The following is an 18,774-nucleotide window of genomic DNA, read 5'->3' as shown; positions in this document are numbered from 1 at the left end:
CAATTTGATTTTATCTTTTAGTAAATTCTCTCTCCTGGTTGTTCTTGCTACTGTAATTACCCTTGCATTACCAGTCAACCTCTATCACCACCCCCTTAATGTTCTGAAAATCCAGAACTGTTGTGCCACATGCTCTGTGATTAAATCACCAGAATCCCTGGGATTACTGGCAATGATGGCAGCAGCGGCCAGTCTGGAGCAGCCGCTGTGAGGACACCAGCTGCAGAGGGCAAAGTGCAGCCAGGGCTGCGCACTCCATGGTGCCCGCGGGGGCCAGAAACAGGCAGGAGCCCCAACTTCTACAGAGTTATCAGGGCAGGAGCCCCATGCTCCCAGACACAGCTGCAGCCGTGCAGCCACAGCTCTGGACCAGGGCATCCCTGTGCTCTTGGGGGCCGGCGAAGGCCCACTGCCCCACCAGCAGGCTCAAGAAGTGCCTGCTCCTGCTCCCTGGCCTCTCCCGGCTCCCGGCGCCTGATGCAGTGTGGAGCAAAGTTGTAGCCAAGCCCAGGTACTGTTGCCACCCAGCCGGGTATGCATGCACACAGGGTGGTTCTGACATGCCAGCGCCCCTGGTAACCCCAACCTCCAGCTCGGCCCCCTCTGGACTTTGGATGCCAACAAGCACAGGAGGGAGGCCAGGGGGCTGAGAGCAGCTTAACAGGGGCCTGCAGGCACCTCTTGGCACAAATACCTTGGGCGCCATGGATGACATGTTGACAGCTGCGGGAGACAGGTTCCTAGGTGGGAAGGGACAGACAGGTCCCTGGTGAAACCCCAGCTTCAAGCCAGGGATGGCCTGAAGCCTGGGAGCCGCTGGGCTGCCAGTTCTAGGTGGAGTCTGCAGCCTGGGATGAAAACTTACGGTGCTTTTTCCAGGCCCACTCATGGCTGCGCATGGGCCAATCAGCACACTTCCTCCCTTCTGAGCCCAGAAAAACTCTGGACTCAGCCAGACTCAGAAAGACATGGGGACTACCAGCTGTTGGAAGGAGCAACCCTCTGGGGGTCTCCTCCACTAGTCAGGATGACCTGCCTGTGGAAAGGAGCTATGCACTACAGGTCTCCTCTCCAGTGAGAGCTGGACACTCATTACGTCGACCTGCCTGCAGAAAAAGGCTACTCACTTCAGGTCTCCTGAGAACTGTTCTGTTGCTCAATGAAGTTCCCCTGTACCTTGCTCACCCTCCAGTTGTCTCCATACCTCATTCCTCTTGGATGTGGGACAAGAACTTGGGACCCAAGGAATGGCCAGACTGAAAGAGCTGTAACACAAACAGGGGTGATCCTCCCCCTCCCCTGCTCACTACATTGTGGGCGACGAGAAGGAGAGAAGAGCTGCGGCCCTTCGGGGAGCCCAGACCTAGGGGCTCCCTAAGCCAGGGCTGTGACATCCTCTTTGGGGCTCTGCGGTTCCTGGTGTCTCCAAGTTTCCGGGTGCCACCGTGTTCCCAGTGCCCACAATGGAAGCGACCTGCAGTATGCCTGGTCCAGCCACAGCCTTGCACGGAGCCAGTGCCTGTGCCTGGAGCTGCCTGCCCCACCACAGTCGGCATGCCCGGCTGTGCACAGTGGCCGGATGACCCTGAACTCACTCACGAACTCCTCGCCACTCCGTGCCTGGCTCGCCCTTGGCAGGCATGAGATCCAGGCCAGTAGCACAAGCCGAGTGCAGCCTGCCAGGAAGAGCAGGCAGAACAAGCCCAGCGGGCCAGAGCAAAACTTGGGCAAAGGCATCACCAGACACAGAGATTTCTGGCTGGAAAAGAGACATCCTAAAAATTCCGTGACAACAGCCCTCACTTACAAGAATGCCATGGACGTCCAAGTTGTAACTAGGGTCACAAAATGATTTCCTTCAGCCTGACCAAATCTAAAAGGCAATCACTATACGTTTTACTACTCCAAGCAAATCACTAGTTTTTAACAAATACACAATTTCAATTTGATTATCAACTAATTTCTAGCCATTCCTGCTGTAAATATATGTAAGAAAGTAGACAAGTCTCACATAAAGTTATTTAGGAAATCTGCTTCTCAAGTAGATTATTATTATACTGAAATATCATTTGGCTACTTGGGAAGAAAAAATAGACTTCAAAAATAAACAGAAATGGAATTTTCTCAAATATCCAATACTTGTTACAGTACAACTATTAAGTAGAATGTAGGGGTGTGGATGGAGGTAGAAGCTATTATGCCCAATAAACATAGAGGTATAGCAGCAAGGCCTCAGAGAACTGCCAAAATAGCCAGCATGGTATATGCCACAATTTTCTCCTGGTTTTTTTTGTTTTGTTTTGTTTTGTTTTGTTTTGTTTTTGAGACGGAGCTGTCGCCCAGGCTGGAGTGCAGTGGCCCCATCTCGGCTCACTGCAAGCTCCACCTCCTGGGTTCACGCCATTCTCCTGCCTCAGCCTCCTGAGTAGCTGGGACTGCAGGCACCTGCCACCACACCCAGCTAATTTTTTGTATTTTTAGTAGAGACGGGGTTTCACCGTGTTAGCCAGGATGGTCTGGATCTCCTGATCTCGTGATCCACCCGCCTCGGCCTCCCACAGTGCTGGGATTACAGGCGTGAGCCACCACGCCCGGCCTTCTCCTGTTATTTTCAATTGAAGCAAGAGGAGAGAATGAATTATGTACGTTTCTAAGCCTTTGTTCAGTATCATTCTCTGCAACTCTTATGAATCTCTTGAGCATCTCAATTCACTGAAAATTAGCATTACATTAACCACTGCCAAAAGTAATGAATATCCAAACCTAACATTTTCCCCTTTAAAAAGCATCCCCCCTATTAAGGGCTTCACACTTAAAATAGAAGGCTGCTTCAGTGAGAGCATGTAAGTTTGTAAAAAGCAAACAGAGCAAGATTAAAAAGTGTATGTAATTTAAATGAAACAAATTATTCATCGTTAGGATCTCTTCATGTTTCTAGAGGTTAATTATCCTTGGGACTGATAAATTGCTGGAGCCCCAGCTCACTGTACAAGCATCTCCACACTAGTTCATTCAATAAATATACATTAAGTACCTACTCCTTAACAGGTACTGTTCTAGGAACTGAAGATAGAACACTGAATAAGACAATGTTGTTGCCTTCAAGAAGCTTACATTCTAGTGGAAGAAGCCACGTAACAAATGCACAGTTTGTCAAACAGTTTTAAGACTATGAAAAAAAATAGGCTGGGCCCTGTGGCTCGTGCCTGTAATCCCAGCACTTTGGGAGGCCAAGGTGGGTGGATCGCCTGAGGTCAGGAGTTCAAGAACAGCCTGGCCAACATCATGAAACCTTGTCTCTACTAAAAATACAAAAAATTAGCTGGGCGTGGTAGTGGGCGCCTGTAATCCCAGCTACACAGGAGACAGAGGCAGGAAAATCGCTTGAATCCGGCAGGTGGAGGTTGCAGTGAGCCAAGATCTAACCATTGCACTCCAGCCTGGACAACAAGAGCAAAACTCCATCTCAAAAAAAAAAAAAAAAGGAATATGAAAAAAATATAAAGCAGAGTAAAGGGGACATTCTAAATAAGAAGGTCAGGAAAAACTTTTAATAAACTGACCTCTGAGTGGAGAGTATTTGGAAGAGTAATTGAAGGTTTGAGACACATGGATCCCTGTTGAAAACATACCAGGCAGAAGGAAAACAAATACAACGGCCCTGAGTATATGCTATGCTGACCCCAGCTGGGTTGGGTGCAGAACATATAGGATCTTGTGGCCCTGGGGCCTCTGGAGAAGCCATTAGGAGGGTTTGGAGAAGAGCGAGTCATGAGAAGTGGACACACTCTGATTATATTCTGGAACTAAAGATGACATACTGATGGACTAGATGGGGAGTGTAAGAGAAAGGGCCAAGGTGACTCCAAAGATGTTGCCTAAGCAAAGTTTAAAATGAAATACCTAATGAGAAAGTGAAGTGGATTTGGAAATTCACTTGGGGAATGAAGATCTTTTTTTGGATACCTGAAAATGGAGGTGAGAGCAAACACAGGTAGAGAACTGCTAGCATAAAGGGGGCCTGTAAAAGCTGCAGCTGTCATCTCAAAATTGACAGAGGGCAGGAGATGAGGGAGCACACAATAATATGCAACAAGGAGAGAACAGAGCCCTACCCAAAGTACTGCAGTAAGGACGAAGAGGTGTAAAAGCTCTTTTCTCTTTTATGAACTGTCAAGTGCCATCCAAATGTCAGTCAAAGGTATTAGAGACACAAAAGAAAAAGTCACATGTGGATAATGTCAAACAAACCATACACACACAGAGTATGTAACTAAATAGCTAACATTTAAATATAATCCAGGTTTACACAAGACTTAATACTGTGTCATTTTGATAATACTTCAATAAGTGTTTATGACAGTAGTACATAATGTCCAGATTCCTTATGTGTTAAAAAAACAAGAAAAAAAAATACAATTTTGTGGGATGAGACTAAATCCTAACAATGGCAAACAGCATTATTTTTAATAAAAGCATTTTGTTTTGAATTGTAAACAACTGAGTTTCCATCCAAGTGTGTGAGTGAGAGAAACAAATGGCAGGGGATTTAGAAGTAAACAAAGAGAAAATGAAAAATAAAATATAAATTCCTTCCTGCTTACATATGGCTGCCTCCAAAATAAATGAGTCTATTAATACAAGTAAAACAGATGCTCTCTTTCCAACAAAGTTGAACCTCCTGAATCCTCAGCATTAAATAAGATTAATGCTGCCTTCACATAAACGCATAATGGTATATGAGCTTATTAAATTCAATTCATTTCTTCAAGAACTCCCAAAAGCCAATTAATTGATCTATTCCTGCAAATAATATATCTGTTCTTCACTAATGCTGGTTTAAAGTTATGTTCCTATAAAATAATGCTCAGAAACAAAAATTTTACTACTATGAATCCATAGCTCATTAATCACTATAAGATGTATTCATTATTTTTTCTTGTTTCACAAGGACTTTTTTCTTAATTTATGACAATACCTGTTCACTTTTTGTTATCTCTATATAATGCCAGATGAAAAGTTATCCAAATTAAAGCACATTTTTAAAAGACATGTATTGCTTATCAAATTTTGAAAACGTAACAGAAAAATAAAAAATTATACCTCTTGTAAATGTGAGTCTTTCTTTTTTGCTGATAAATTCAAATGTTTATCAATTAGACTATAATTCTTTTCTGTCTCTTTGTCAAACTTCTTTTTTTCTTCCTACAAATAAAAAAAAAACTATGATTAAACAGAAACAAAAGGATACACATGGTTAATCCACTGGGAAGCTCAAATTATGAAAAATATCTGAAAATAAAACAAAGCACCACTCTGAATGTGATAAAGCTATCTAAAAAAACATATCTGTACCAAGCCTACTGCTTAATCATCAAGACAGCATTAGGATAGAAGAGACACTTTTATTTCTTCCTTTAATGGACTTTTTTCCAAGCCTATGTTATTTTTCAGTTCTTCAGACTTAGCAATGTTAAAAATTAATTCCACGTCACTCACCCCTCACCAACCGAATGAAACAAAATACGTAAGAAAAATAACATAAAGCTTAAAAAAGCAAACTTGCTCCAGATTTTGGCACAGACGTGGAATTCGTTTAAAATGGAATAATAGGCCAGTGGCTCACACCTGTAATCTCAGCACTTTGGGAGGCCAAGACGGGCGGATCACCTGAGGTCAGGAGTTCGAGACCAGCCAGCTATCGTGGTGAAATCCCGTCCCTACTAAAAATACAAAAGTTAGCAGGGTGTGGTGGCACACACCTGTAATCCCAGCTACTCAGGAGGCTGAGGCGTGAGAATCACTTGAACCCCAGAGGCGGAGGTTGCAGTGAATCGAGATCACACCACTGCACTCCAGCCTGGGCAACAGGGTGAGACTCTGTCTCAATCAATCAGTATGTTTTACTCTAGATTTTCAAAAAATCATAATACATAATCAGTGTTGGAAAAAAAACATCTTGGGAAAGATCTTCCCTAATGGTCCAGTATGAATACAGGTTAAGTATCCCTTCTCTGAAATGCTTAGAACCAGAAGTGGTAGAGATTTTTGGATATTTTTGAATTTTGGAATATCTGTGTATACAAAGAGAGGTATCTTGGGTATGGGGCCTAAGTCTAAACGTGAAATTCATTTCTGTTTTGTATACACCTATCACACATAGCCTAAAGGTAATTTTATACAATATTTTTAATAATTTTGTACATGAAATAAAGCTTATGTACACTGAACCATCAGAGAGCAAGAGGCCAGGTGTGGAATTTTCCACTTGTAGTGTCATTTCAAATTTTGGAGCATATCGGATTTCAGATTCAGGATGATCGACCTGTATAGCAATAAGATTGTCTACCAGAAATGTCATCTACTTTCCCAAACCTTTCCAGTGATTTCTGTAACGCTATTTAAAATACGTATCAATAGGTCAACAGGGCCTAAAATAATATTGATATACCAGTACTCACCCTTTGGTTAACATCACAAACATTTCTTAGGTACTGTCTAGAATTAGGACATACTTGCATTCCTTTTGCTATAGAAGCTTTTTGAGAAAATAAGTATACACATTTATAAATGCAGAGAAGATGGGTGTCTCCCCTAAAGCTGTCAGCCAACTTGACAGATTTTTAATAAACATTCTTGAGTATCAATGAGAGCACACCATGTCCTCATGCTGTCAAAATGTTTCCATTAATTTCAAATTCTCCCTAACTCTCCACACCTCCTAAAAAAGGAACATTCTCTTCCCTAATTTTCCAACTTGTATTTTCCAAAGCAAAAATAATGAACTATTCCAGCCTTTTCTGGTATGATTTCCTTCCTGTTAGGCAAAGAGATTAAACAAAGCATGTTAATTCTCTACTTCTTTTATTTATCTTTTTTCACCACATGGGACCACACGCTGTTCTTCTGGAAACCCAGGACAGTATGTCCCCTGTCAGGTCATCTAAAAGCCCTCAATTAACTCCCCCACACTGATGGAGGAGGAGAGACTCAGGAACTGAGGTTTCTTCCCTTTTCTACTCCAAGGTTAATTACCAACTAGCTGCACAACTTAAAAAAAAAAAAAAAAAAAAAACCATCTGACAATATAGAACCTAAGTTTTCTTACCAAAAAGATCAGGGACTTTTCTTTAACTGCCTCATAGATCCAGACCTAAAATTCTGTGATCCTATGGTTCACCCATGTGTAGAAATGGAACCAAAAAAAAGCAGAAGTTGTATTTTAACCTCTTTTACTTAATAGTCACTCTTTTGTTGATACAGAGGATCAGAAGACTTTATTTTTCTTTACGCTCTAGGTTTTTTTAATTTACAACTAAGTCCAATGTATTGATATTACATAGTTACTCTCTTTTCTGCTTTTCATTATGCTCTTCCACTATTTTAACAACTAACAGAAAATAAACTGAAACAAACAGATGCCCATTACCTAAAAATGTCCACTATTTTAAAAAGTTGATGCTGTGAAGTACACACTGAATTAGGTGTCAGAAGACCCAAGCTGCAGTCCTAGCCACTCATTACTCTGTGACTCTGTAGCAAGGTCACAAACATTCTCTGAGCATCTGTTTCTCAGACTTAAACAAAAGACAAATGGAAGTCAGGCCCCTGCATTTGCCCACAAGACTGCTGCAAAGCAAGGTCACATAGTAAGAAGCACTATCACTGCAGACTAGTACTTACCAGGAACATGGAAAACATTTTTACCACCTTATTTGATTTAATCTGAATCACAGAAAGGGGCCGAGGAAGGGGTGACGCTTTAATCAGCGGTCAAAACACCCAGCACACTCAGCAATAGAAGGCTATGAAAATCAACATGTGGGTAAAGTTGGGAATGAAAGAAAAAGGAGACATCAAGCCTTTATGAAGAAAGAATTTAGCCAAGAAACAACAATAACAACATCACACCCACCAAGCTTAGAATAGAAATATCTTCGTCCATATATGGTATGGTATTATACAAATGCTGCTGTGTTTTGTTTCTGAATCTTAAAACGCAGGTAATTATTTCTTCCTGCATTTGTTCTTAATGTCATTATAGAGTATTATTGTTTCTTTGTGCTCATATGATTTCTTGTGCTGAAATGATACAAATTTCAAAGGAAACTATTCAAGTAGCATTCAATAAAGAATGGAGCTTTTTTTTTCCCCCAATACTGCATTACAGAAAAAAATATATAAATGTAACAGCGTAATCCAAAAAGTTCCAACAAGGATCAAGTTAAATACAATATGAAAACTTTTCTTATAAATCAGACATTACAAAAACTGAAATGAGTCTGGGCCAGGCAGTAATCTAATGAGTGAAACAGGCTGGGAGAGAAATGCAATCAGGAGTGGTAGGCAATGAAAACCAGATAGTCCTCGTCTACTCCAGAGAAGAAGGCAGCCATTACTCAGCGCCAGAACATTTTTGCCTCTTGAGAACACAAGCCCAGTATGTTGGCCATGTCTTCTGATTTCTCTGGAACTGCTGAAAAATCCAATGATTTTTATGGTGGCAACACATTTTTTCTTAATTGTAACAACACGAGGAAGCCAAACAAAATTTATAAGTTGAATATGGTAGAAGTCAGCTTTCTAATCTGTTATAAAATTGCACATGCAAAACCTTTTTTAAAAGTAGAGCTACTACTTAGAACAGCATTTTGGGTCAAAAAAAAGACATACGTTATATAAATGGTAGAAGAGAAGAACCTAAGAACCCCAATTCAAATAACCAGATCTTCTGAATACCATTAGAGGTCAAAAACTATATAAATTTGTCATTACACATCACTGGGTTTAAAAAAAGGAAGAGACGATTCAACCATTGGTGCTGGCATGACTGTTTACTGGGAAGCAGAAAGAGAACCTCATCTCATATCAAAATTAATTCCAGATGGATTGAAAGAGTCACAAGTAAACAATGAAGCCATAGAGAGTATTTTCAACAAATCTCAGAATAGAGAAGGATCTTCTAAGCAAAAAAGGAAAGAAAGAAGCCATAAGAACTTGCCAATATAAAAAAAAAATCATAATAATCAAGCAAAGGGCACACAGCAAAGGGGGGAGGATTACAACCAATATGTAAGAACGTAGGGAAACATTTGTAACACAAAATATATTCTTCATTAAGCAGTTTTTTGCAAAAAACACACAATAATGCTTCCACTGAAAAATGGATAAAGAACACAAAGAATTCATAAAAGTTTAAACATAATTGTGAATTGCCCATTTTTCTATAGGGTACCAGATTATTTTGCTTTAGAAGAGGAAAGAATTTGTTACTAGATGACTTTTTTTGAATTTTCTTTATTTTCCAATTGTTTAGGATGAGGAGATGGAAAAGGCTTATTTTCAAACTACAAAATTAAATAATGTTTACTGTTGGACTCGTCTAGAGAAGAACTTAAATATGGCAGGTCCTTGAATAGCATCATTTCATTATAACATTAATAAGGGAAAAATAAAAACCGATTCGTGGCCAGGGCCACTGTCCGTGTGGAGTCTGCAGGTTCTCCCGTGCCTGTGTGGATTCCTTCTGGGTATCTACTATTTCCTCCCACATCTCTTAGGTCAGTTCACCAGCATGTCTAAATAGTACTGTGTGAGCGAGTGTGGGATCATGCCCTGTCCAAGGCTGGTGTCCACCTTGCACTCTGAGCTGCTGAAATGGGCTCTAGCCACCTGCGACCCTGAACAGGAGTGAGTAAATGATTATCTTGTTTTCATTAATCTTTCTTAAATGTATGTATAGCTCACATTTATTTCAATATTTAATATTAAAAGTGTTGTGGTATTGAGAAGTTTGGTGATGTTGAGGTCAGGAGTTTGAAATCAGCCTGACCAACATGGTGAAACCCCCCATCTCTACTAAAAATACAAAATTAGCCTGGCGTGCTGGCGCATGTCTGTAATCCCAGCTACTTGGGAGGCTGAGGCACGAGAATCACTTGAACTTGGGTGGCGGAGATTGTAGTGAGCCAAGATCATGCCATTCTACTCCAGCCTGGGTGACAAGGGCGAAACTCCGCTCCATTTTAAAAAAAAAAAAAAAAAAAAAAAAAAGTTTGGTGATGTTCTGAGACCAGAAATATGACATAAAAACTTTTGTTTACGTCAATCGGCCCATGGTAAAACTGGCTTCCTTATGTGTTGCTTTGCTTCAATTCAGTTTCCAAGAACCTACTGATAATGTTAAGTGAGGACTCCCCACTCCAGCAGGGAGAAGGCACACCCTCCCTTAACTCCCAAGGCAAGTGTCACTCGTTCCTACTTGACACTTCATTTGCCCTATCCTACCCCAACCCACCCCTTTCCTTTAAGCTCCTCTAGCCTCTCTAAAGAGATGAGAATTCAACTTCATCCTCACAGAATGGAGCACTTGAATCCAGACCCAGAAGGGTGCCTGGCAGACACCTGTCAGAGCACAAGTGAACGGCCAGCACAGGACTGCAGCAGCACCAACGCTGGCAAAGTGCCACCTCGGTTCCTCAGTGGTGGCTCCAGAGTCACTAATCCAGTGCCTTAGCACTATTTGTCCATAAAGGTCATAAGCCACATGCTATGGCTTGTCACCCCTAAACCCAGAATGCAGAGAATGGACAAAAAGCTGAGCAACTCCTGTTTGGCAAGGTGATGGGGAGCAAGTCATGAATGGGATAATAAAATTACTCTATGGATACCAGGTCCCAAACTAGACACTTCAGGTACATTATCAAATTCACTCAACTCTCACAATAACCTCCTGAGACAAGTGTCGTAAGTCTCATTTTACAGACCAGGAAACTGAGACTTAGAGGCCTTAAGTCACTTGTCCCAAATCACATGGCTAATTAAGGCACCGAAAGAGGATTCAAACCAGGAAGAATTAACTCTTCCTGAAAGACTTTCTGGTGCTCCAAAGATGAGATGGTAGAGTACATCCCAGGACACCTATGCTTACCGCTATTACAGCACTTTCCACAATATATTTTTATTGCTTTTTTGACAGTCTCACAAAAAGTTGCTAACTTCCTGAAGGCTGGCCAGTGTTGTAATTCCTAGTTGTATCTCAGGGCCTCTAATACTATGCTGTATGATAGGCACTAGTGTGTTTTATTACTGAATGAAAGAAATGTAATTAAACTAAATCAATATTGTTTCTGCTCTATTAAATACAATGTAATATGAGAAATTATCCAGACAGGTTTAAGTTTTACTCATGTTTTGTAGTAATTTATAGAATCTTTGGAAGTCTGTATTTAAAATGTATTCATTAGGCTGGGCACAGTGGCTCAAGCCTGTAATCCCAGAACTTTGGAAGGCCGAGGCAGGAGGATCAATTGAGCCCAGGAGTTCAAGACCAGCCTGGGCAACACAGAGAGACCGTCTCTACAAAAATAATTTTAAAATTAGCCATGCATGGTGGCAGGCATCTGTAGTCCTGGCTGCTCAGATCATCTGACCCAGGAGTTCAAGGCTGCTGCCCAGCCTGGACAACAGAATGAAATCCTGTATTTTAAAAAAAAAAAAAAATTATTAGTCATAGTCTTGGAAAGAAATTTGGAGTAGAGGTCTGGTAATGAGCTTAGGTGATAAGTCATAATTTGTGAAATGAACATCTATTAAGTTTTCTGCCTAAAATTCTTCTTCTATTTGGATAAAATTATAATTGGCTCTTTCCAAGATAGCATCTGAATAGATTCCATTCTCAATCCAGTTAGTTGCATCCACCTGTCATCTGTGTGCTGCTGCTTGCCCAAACCCATATTTTCATTACTTGGTCAAATGTCCAAAAAAGCAATTTATCCCATGTTAACTCTTATCACGTTCTGGTATTTCTCAGAGTTTTTGTTCAACATACTTGGCCCCTAAGTTGTTCAGGATCTGTACTGGTTCCTGTAGCTACCCACAAAGTCCTGTGGGACATTTGGCAATAAGTGCCAAGCTCAAAAAGGGTGAAGGAGCTTCAAAAGAAAATAAGAACTCAGCTAGGCCTTAGAGAAACTCTTGACGTGATGCATCAGGCAACAACCTGTGTCCTGTTGTGTCCAGAATTGGTTCCTTCTGGTGGGTTCTTGGTCTCACTGAATTCAAGAACGAAGCCGCGGACCCTCGCAGTGAGTGTTACAGTTCTTAAAGATGGTGTGTCCGGAGTTTGTCCCTTCAGATGTTCAGATGTGTCCGGAGTTTCTTCCTTCTGGTGGGTTCGTGGTCTTGCTGACTTAGGAGTGAAGCCGCAGACCTTTGCAGTGACTGTTACAGCTCTTAAAGGTGGCGCATAGAGAGTTGTCTGTTCCTCCCGCTGGGTTCATGGTCTCCTGGCTTCAGGAGTGAAGCTGCAGACCTTCGTGGTGAGTGTTACAGCTCATAAAGGTAGTGTGGACCCAAAGAGTGAGCAGCAGCCAGATTTATTGCAAACAGTGAAAGAACAAAGCTTCCACAGCATGGGAAGGGACCCAAGCATTGCCCCTGCTGGCTTGGATGGCCAGCTTTTATTCCCTTACTTGGCCCCGTCCACGGCCTGCTGATTGGTTCATTTTACAGAGCGCTGATTAATCCATTTTACAGAGTGCTGATTGGTCCATTTTTACAGAGTGCTGATTGGTGCATTTACAAACCATTAGCTAGACAAAGAGCACTGATTGGTGCATTTTTACAGAGTGCTGATTGGTGCATTTACAAACCTTTGGCTAGACACAGAGTGCTGGTTGGTGTGTTTTTACAGAGTGCTGATTGGTGCATTTACAAACCTTTGGCTAGATACAGAGCGCTGATTGGTGCGTTTACAATCCTTTAGCTAGACAGAAAAGTTCTCCAAGTCCCCACCCGACCCAGAAGCCCAGCTGGCTTCACCTCTCACTGTGATAGCAAAAGGGCTTTTTGAACAAAAGCTAGAACCTAGCAAGCACATAAGAAAATGCAGCAGAACCCATAAAATGGAGGGATACGTCCAAACCAAACAGATAGGGCTCAAGGAGAGCATATCCAAATATAAGCAAAACAGTAGACAATACCTGGGGGCTTTTCAAAATCCAATTTACAAAAACCACCTAGCCACTTAGAATAGATTTAAACCACAGTTAAACATGGAACTGGGCTTCTGGAAACCGGAGAAGGTAAAAGCACAGGGAACTGAAAGAGCTTCAGGCAAGGGCTACAACATTATCAGATGGGAAACAGGAGACGGGGAAAGATCAAAATGTTGACCCCCATATCTAAAAATTCTGATGTGGTCAACTTTTAGAGACCTTTTTCTTAAATCCCCACGTGAAAACTGTTTTATGCTGTTTACAAAAAGCTCTTTAACCTAAGAGAGTAAAGTCTTTTTGAAGTATCCCATGTAAGCAGATTTAATCAGAGGAACAAGACTGTGTGCTTGACAAAATATGACTGAATGTTTAGGCAGCACAGATGTGGAAAGTAATTCAAATACCCAAACTTAAGCCCTTTCCTGTTTCTTCTAGAATTATCAGTTGGATAGGCTATTTATTAGATACTTTATGTATTAAGGCAGGGTAGGGGCTGGTAGAGAATTTAAAAAAAAAAAAAAAAGCAGAGTCTTTTAAAGATTTAACAACCTAATGAAAAGGACAGATGTTTACATAGTTTACATATCATTACAGAACACAGACAACCACCTTTCTCTACTGTTTATTATGGTACACAAAACTACCAGGAAAAAGGGCTTCTCCCTATGACCTACAATGACGGGCTCTTCACAGGTGACATCCATAGGTACAACAGTCAACACACATACTGTACTGAGCAAGACTGCACATAACATAAACTCTTTATAAACTTGAAGCCAGAAGAACAGGGAGGGATACAGAAATAGGACTTCAGGAAAGAATTTGGTCATTAAACAGCTCAAAGCACAGAATAAACTATTGTAACCATTTCTCCTTTTAAAAGGATTACTTATTGTGCAAGTTGCTTTGCAGGATATACTCTGAACAAATGTTAACATCAGAAGCTGGAAAGTTTAGGGGGGAAAATGAGTCAATAGAAGATTCAAGGTCAGACATTTCTAAATTCCAGTAGAATAGATGGCAAGTAAAAGTAAATATATTCACTCGCACTCAATTTTCATTTCCATAATATAACCGTCACACATATAGCACCATCCAATTCAAATGAGAAAAATAAGAAATGGATGTTGTTTACACGGAATACCTGCCAATGAAATGTTAAAAGAGAATGAACCAAAATGCAACAAGCTTTAAAGAGCTTAAAGAGACACAATCAAAACAAAATCATAAAACTATAAAACAGTAGTCAGATCCCCCAAGTCCTTCATTTTACATATAAGAAACTAAAGCCAATTACTTAGTCAAGGTCGCAGAAGTGAAAGCTGACCTCCGATCTCCTGCTGCAAAGCCAGAGGGGACAACCCAGCTGCCTGCAGCACGGCAAACTATCCAAGGAAGGAGCCTGGGGTGGTGCCCCCAATGATCTCCCACTGTTCACAGGGTCTGAGCCTCAATTCGTAGCCCTTCATTAAAAACTGTAATACGGTATGCCAAAAAGAAATGTCTAATATTTTCACAAGTCACTTAAATGAGAATTCATTCCATAAACAGCAATTACAGAGCTGGAACTCCTTGGGTTCATCTGTGTGGTTAAGCTACTGAGGCCACAGTGTTTATTTCCACCAAGGGATTTTAGTCATTTCTTTTAGGAAGAGAAAAAAAAAAAAACTCACATCCCCAGCCACGTGGGGGGAAAAAAATACAAATATAAAAACTCCCTTCCCTACCTAAAATTGATGTTAATTCCCCTCTCCTTGGGCCAAGCCAAAAATGGTCAACAGCATGCAAATGTTACTTTTTCTTTCTCAAGTACATACACAAAATTCAGGAAAGACCGGTGGAAATTATTTCTCTGGGGTAATTTCAAAGCTCAGATTGCACATTTTAAATAAGTTGCTAAATATATCTCAGGCTCCTTGTGGCAAAACCACTGCATTATTCCTGGAAATCACGGTTAAATCCCAGATACTTAAGTACAAAGTCTGTGGTTCACTCACCTTTGAATCCCCAGCACAGTACTATACAACACACAATATAATGCACAATACCATAACAATACTTGCACATAATAGAGGCTCAATAAATTTTTGTTAAATTGAAGGAAATTACATCCCAGTAACTTAATAGTCTCTTCCTAGTTTCAACGGCATCACAGTGTGGCAGCGTCTATAATCTTAAACCCTACTGTAATGCTACACTCCTCCATAAAACTGAGGTGCGCACAGAAATAACTACACTCCCCCCAGTAATAAGCTCCTTCTATTCAGAGCAAATGTGTTGTTTGGTTACAGGTATTTTTAAAACTCTATATGGAAAGGTGTAGCCCAAGAAGATTACTAGAGGTTTTACCATCTTGTCCAGGTGTTTTTGTTTTGTTTCCAATTCCATATCCCCCAAAGGGGGAAAAGCACATTTCAAACAAAACAACAGATGGTTTGCTCCGGCATCTCCTTCAAAGCTGCCAAATGTGAATAAAGTGTACCATGAAGCAGCAGAGGCATCTATGTTTTCTGAGTGTATTCAAATTAGACACAAACCTTTACAGCTCCAAGTTGCTCTTTTCTGAATTTTTCCAAGGGTTTAATCAGGGTTTCAGTTACACTTAATGCCTAGAGAACAAGAGTGATAACAAAAGAGCACAGCATTAGGTTTCCAAAAAGGAAAAAATTAGTATTTCATTTCCCTCTTCCATCCCACCCAGAAAGAAAATGAACGTATTTAACGGCTTTATCTCACTCTGCCAATGCAACAATTAAATCACTTCTCAACTTATTAAAGCACTAGAACTCCATAAATATTTTCAGGGAAGAGGAGGTGGGCAGATTGCCAGTGAAATGTACAACACAGCCCCAACTCTCTTCCACAAAACAGCAAGACGGCTGTCTGTAAACAACAAAGGGGTCTATCACATTCATTAACAGAACACTTCTGTTTGAGATTGTTTTTTTCCTTCCCCCTCCTTAGAAATTTAAAATTCAATTACATTCCTTTATTGATAATCAGACTACATTATGTAAAGAACTAGGACTGTAGCTACTTGTTCAAATACAACCAGTCTGCCCTTCATTACAGAAACCTCCTAAGGATTTAAGGTATATTAGCAAAGTAGAGTCACTGGAGGCTCACGAAAAAGTCAAATGCTTGGGCGTGCTAGCAAACATGACATCAGGGAAGCTCACATGAGAGAAGCCACACACACAAACTCCAGCCACAACCACATTTTCTTTTTATGTTGGCTGGTTTGGGGATTTTCATGTTAAGCCACAAAATGCTGAAAATGCAAATAAAAGAAAATATTCATCAAAAGAAAACATACTTAGTAACAATATAGTGGTGAGAGTAGTGGCTTCTCACCCTCTGCTTCCAGGAGACCAGAAATATCCAAAATAGAAAAGAAAATCTCGAAACACTATTTAAGAATGTGCCATCCCTCTTTTTAGAAAGGTGATCAAAAATCCAAGCTTAACATTACAGAAAAAATAAGTGATTTGGAATAGGAAAAGATTCTTAATGTAACCAAAGGCTCCTCAGCAGTGTTTCATTATGTGAGGGTTTCTCCCAAAGAGACCTTCATACTCTAACGTAGGGAACACTCAAAATAAGCGACTATGCCCACATTCAGGATGCTCAGTTTCAACTTTCTACCCCAGGCTGACCCCTGGATTCCCCTCACTCCCACCTGGATAATTTGCTGCTTGGGTGTAAAATAGCTGGGGCAACAAAGCTCTAAAAGAAAGAATTAAGAGCAACAACTAGTCAGGGAAAAGGGATCATCTTTCAAAATATCATTTTATCCTCTCTACATTTTAGACCATGTGACCTACAGCAATGGCAAACCAAAGAGTCCTACAAAGCACCACCAGCCAGGAATCCTGACTCCCCAAATAATATGGAATGTCCCACATTCCATTTGAGAGTACAGATACAAGAAGTGCTAGCATACGTTTTCACAGTGCATGAATTTACACACAGTGTCTCATAGATAACTTAAGGCACACTTACATGAGCACCTGTGTCATTTTTTAAGCTCCCACATCTGGATCTACCCAACTAGTGATCCCAAATAAACCTCCATATAATATGTCTTCTGTGAAACTGGTACACTCAAGAAAGAAGTCGGCCCAGAATGAACTGCAGGGATCACAGAAGCTAACAACTGCTCAAGTTCACAGAAGATAGGAATAGGGATTCCAAGTCATGTAGGTCTGGGCCCACCAAGCATAACCACCATGCAACATGGCAATAAAAGTACCAAAGAGGTGCTTCTCCAAAGTTGCCATCTTAATAAACTTTAAATATTTATCTATTTTACGAGATAAACAGCTGTTAAGCATGCAATGCCAGGTGATGGGGATACAGCTATGAACAAAACAAGCACAGCCCCCTGCCTTCGTGGAAATTACTGTTCAGTAGAGAAGATGTAAGCCAGATACATGAACACCTAAGGAGATATATAAGCGCACATTCTAGTAATTCCTTCCAATGAAGAAAAGTAGGAGTACAGTGAGGAATGCATTAGAGGAGGTCTAAGGAGAAATGTGTGCAAAGAGAGCTTCTTCAAAGTAGTGACATTTAAGCTAAAACCTAAAAGGTGAGAAGGAATCCGTGGTGCAAAGGGCAAGGGAAATTGTTTCCTGCTGAGATCAGCAGAGGCAAAGGATGAAGGTGAGGAGTTTGAGCATTACAGGGAATGTCAAAAGGCCAGAATGGCTGAAGCGTAAGGAGCAATGAAGTGAGCCTGTAATGCTGAGTGATGGCAGGGGATCAGAGCGTGCCGGGCCTTGTGGGCTCTGGGAAAGGTTAGCATTTTATTGGGGGTACAGTGGAAAGCCACAGGAGGGTTTTCAAGCAGTGAATTGACAGAATGATAATTAGAGCTTTTCAAGATTACTCTGGCTGCTGAGGGAGAGATGAAAGGTACAGAAAACCGGAAGACAGACTCGTTAGGAGGCTTCTAGAGTGGTACACGAAGAGATGGCGGTGGTTCAAATGAAGGCAACCAACAACAGAAGTAAAGACAAGTAGACAGATTTGAGAGATATTTGCAGGTGGTGTCAAAGTAATGAGAGATTGACCGAATGGAAAAGGTGAAGATTTCCAGGATCCCTCCCAGATTTCTGGCATGAACAAATGAAGAGATAACAATTCTACTTATTGCCAGGCACAGACAGACAAGCATCACATGTTCTCACTTATTTGTGGGATGCAAAAATCAAAACAATTGAACTCATGGAGATAGAGAGTAGAAGGGTTGTTACCAGAAGCTGGGAAGTATAGTAGGGGGGAGGTAGGGATGGTTAATGGGTACAAAAAAATAGTTTGAAAGAATGAATGATACCTAGTATTTGATAACACAACAGAGTGACCATACTCAAAATAATTTAATTGTACATCTTAAAATAACTAAAAGAGTATAGTTAGATTGTAACACAAAGGATAAATGCTTGAACGGATGGATACCCTATTTTCCATGATGTGACTATTATACATTGCACGCCTCTATCAAAATATCTAATATAACCCCATAAATATATATACCTATTATGTACTCACAAATCCTAAAAATAAAAATAAATTTAAAAATAAAAAATAAAGGACACTATTTACTGCAACAGGGAAAATCTTGAGGGAAAGCAGCTGGGAGCACACACTAAGGGCTCATGTTAAATCCCAGATGCTGAGAAACGCCCAAGATCTTAGTAAAACCAGCTGTCAGAGACACAGGTCCACAGCCTAGAAGAGACACCTAGGTCAGAGATACCAATTTTGTCCTCAT

At 40.8% G+C, this 18,774-nt stretch overlaps 1 protein-coding gene across 6 annotated transcripts in view; it reads right to left on the bottom strand.

The window, feature by feature from the left end:
- ARHGAP10 (Rho GTPase activating protein 10) overlaps positions 1 to 18,774 on the bottom strand; it is a 340,689-nt gene that overhangs the window by 210,019 nt on the left and 111,896 nt on the right. For 5 of the 6 annotated variants that reach the window (XR_001741324.2, NM_024605.4, XM_005263215.4 and 2 more), the window contains exons 4-5: positions 15,536 to 15,607; positions 5,104 to 5,205 (exon numbers count right to left, since the gene is read on the bottom strand). Coding sequence is in view for 5 of the 6 variants with exons in the window: in NM_024605.4 (NP_078881.3) it covers positions 5,104 to 5,205; positions 15,536 to 15,607 (174 nt within the window). In the remaining variant the exon portion in view is untranslated. Of the gene's footprint in view, positions 1 to 5,103; positions 5,206 to 7,915; positions 8,083 to 15,535; positions 15,608 to 18,774 lie in introns of those variants that run through there. The other variant, XM_047416158.1, reaches the window with a different exon arrangement.

Source organism: Homo sapiens, chromosome 4, assembly GCF_000001405.40.
Source record: "Homo sapiens chromosome 4, GRCh38.p14 Primary Assembly".
In the NCBI taxonomy this organism is placed as follows: Eukaryota; Metazoa; Chordata; class Mammalia; order Primates; family Hominidae; genus Homo; species Homo sapiens.
The sequence above is the reverse complement of the archived record's forward strand: the minus strand, read 5'-3'. Positions and strand labels throughout refer to the sequence as shown.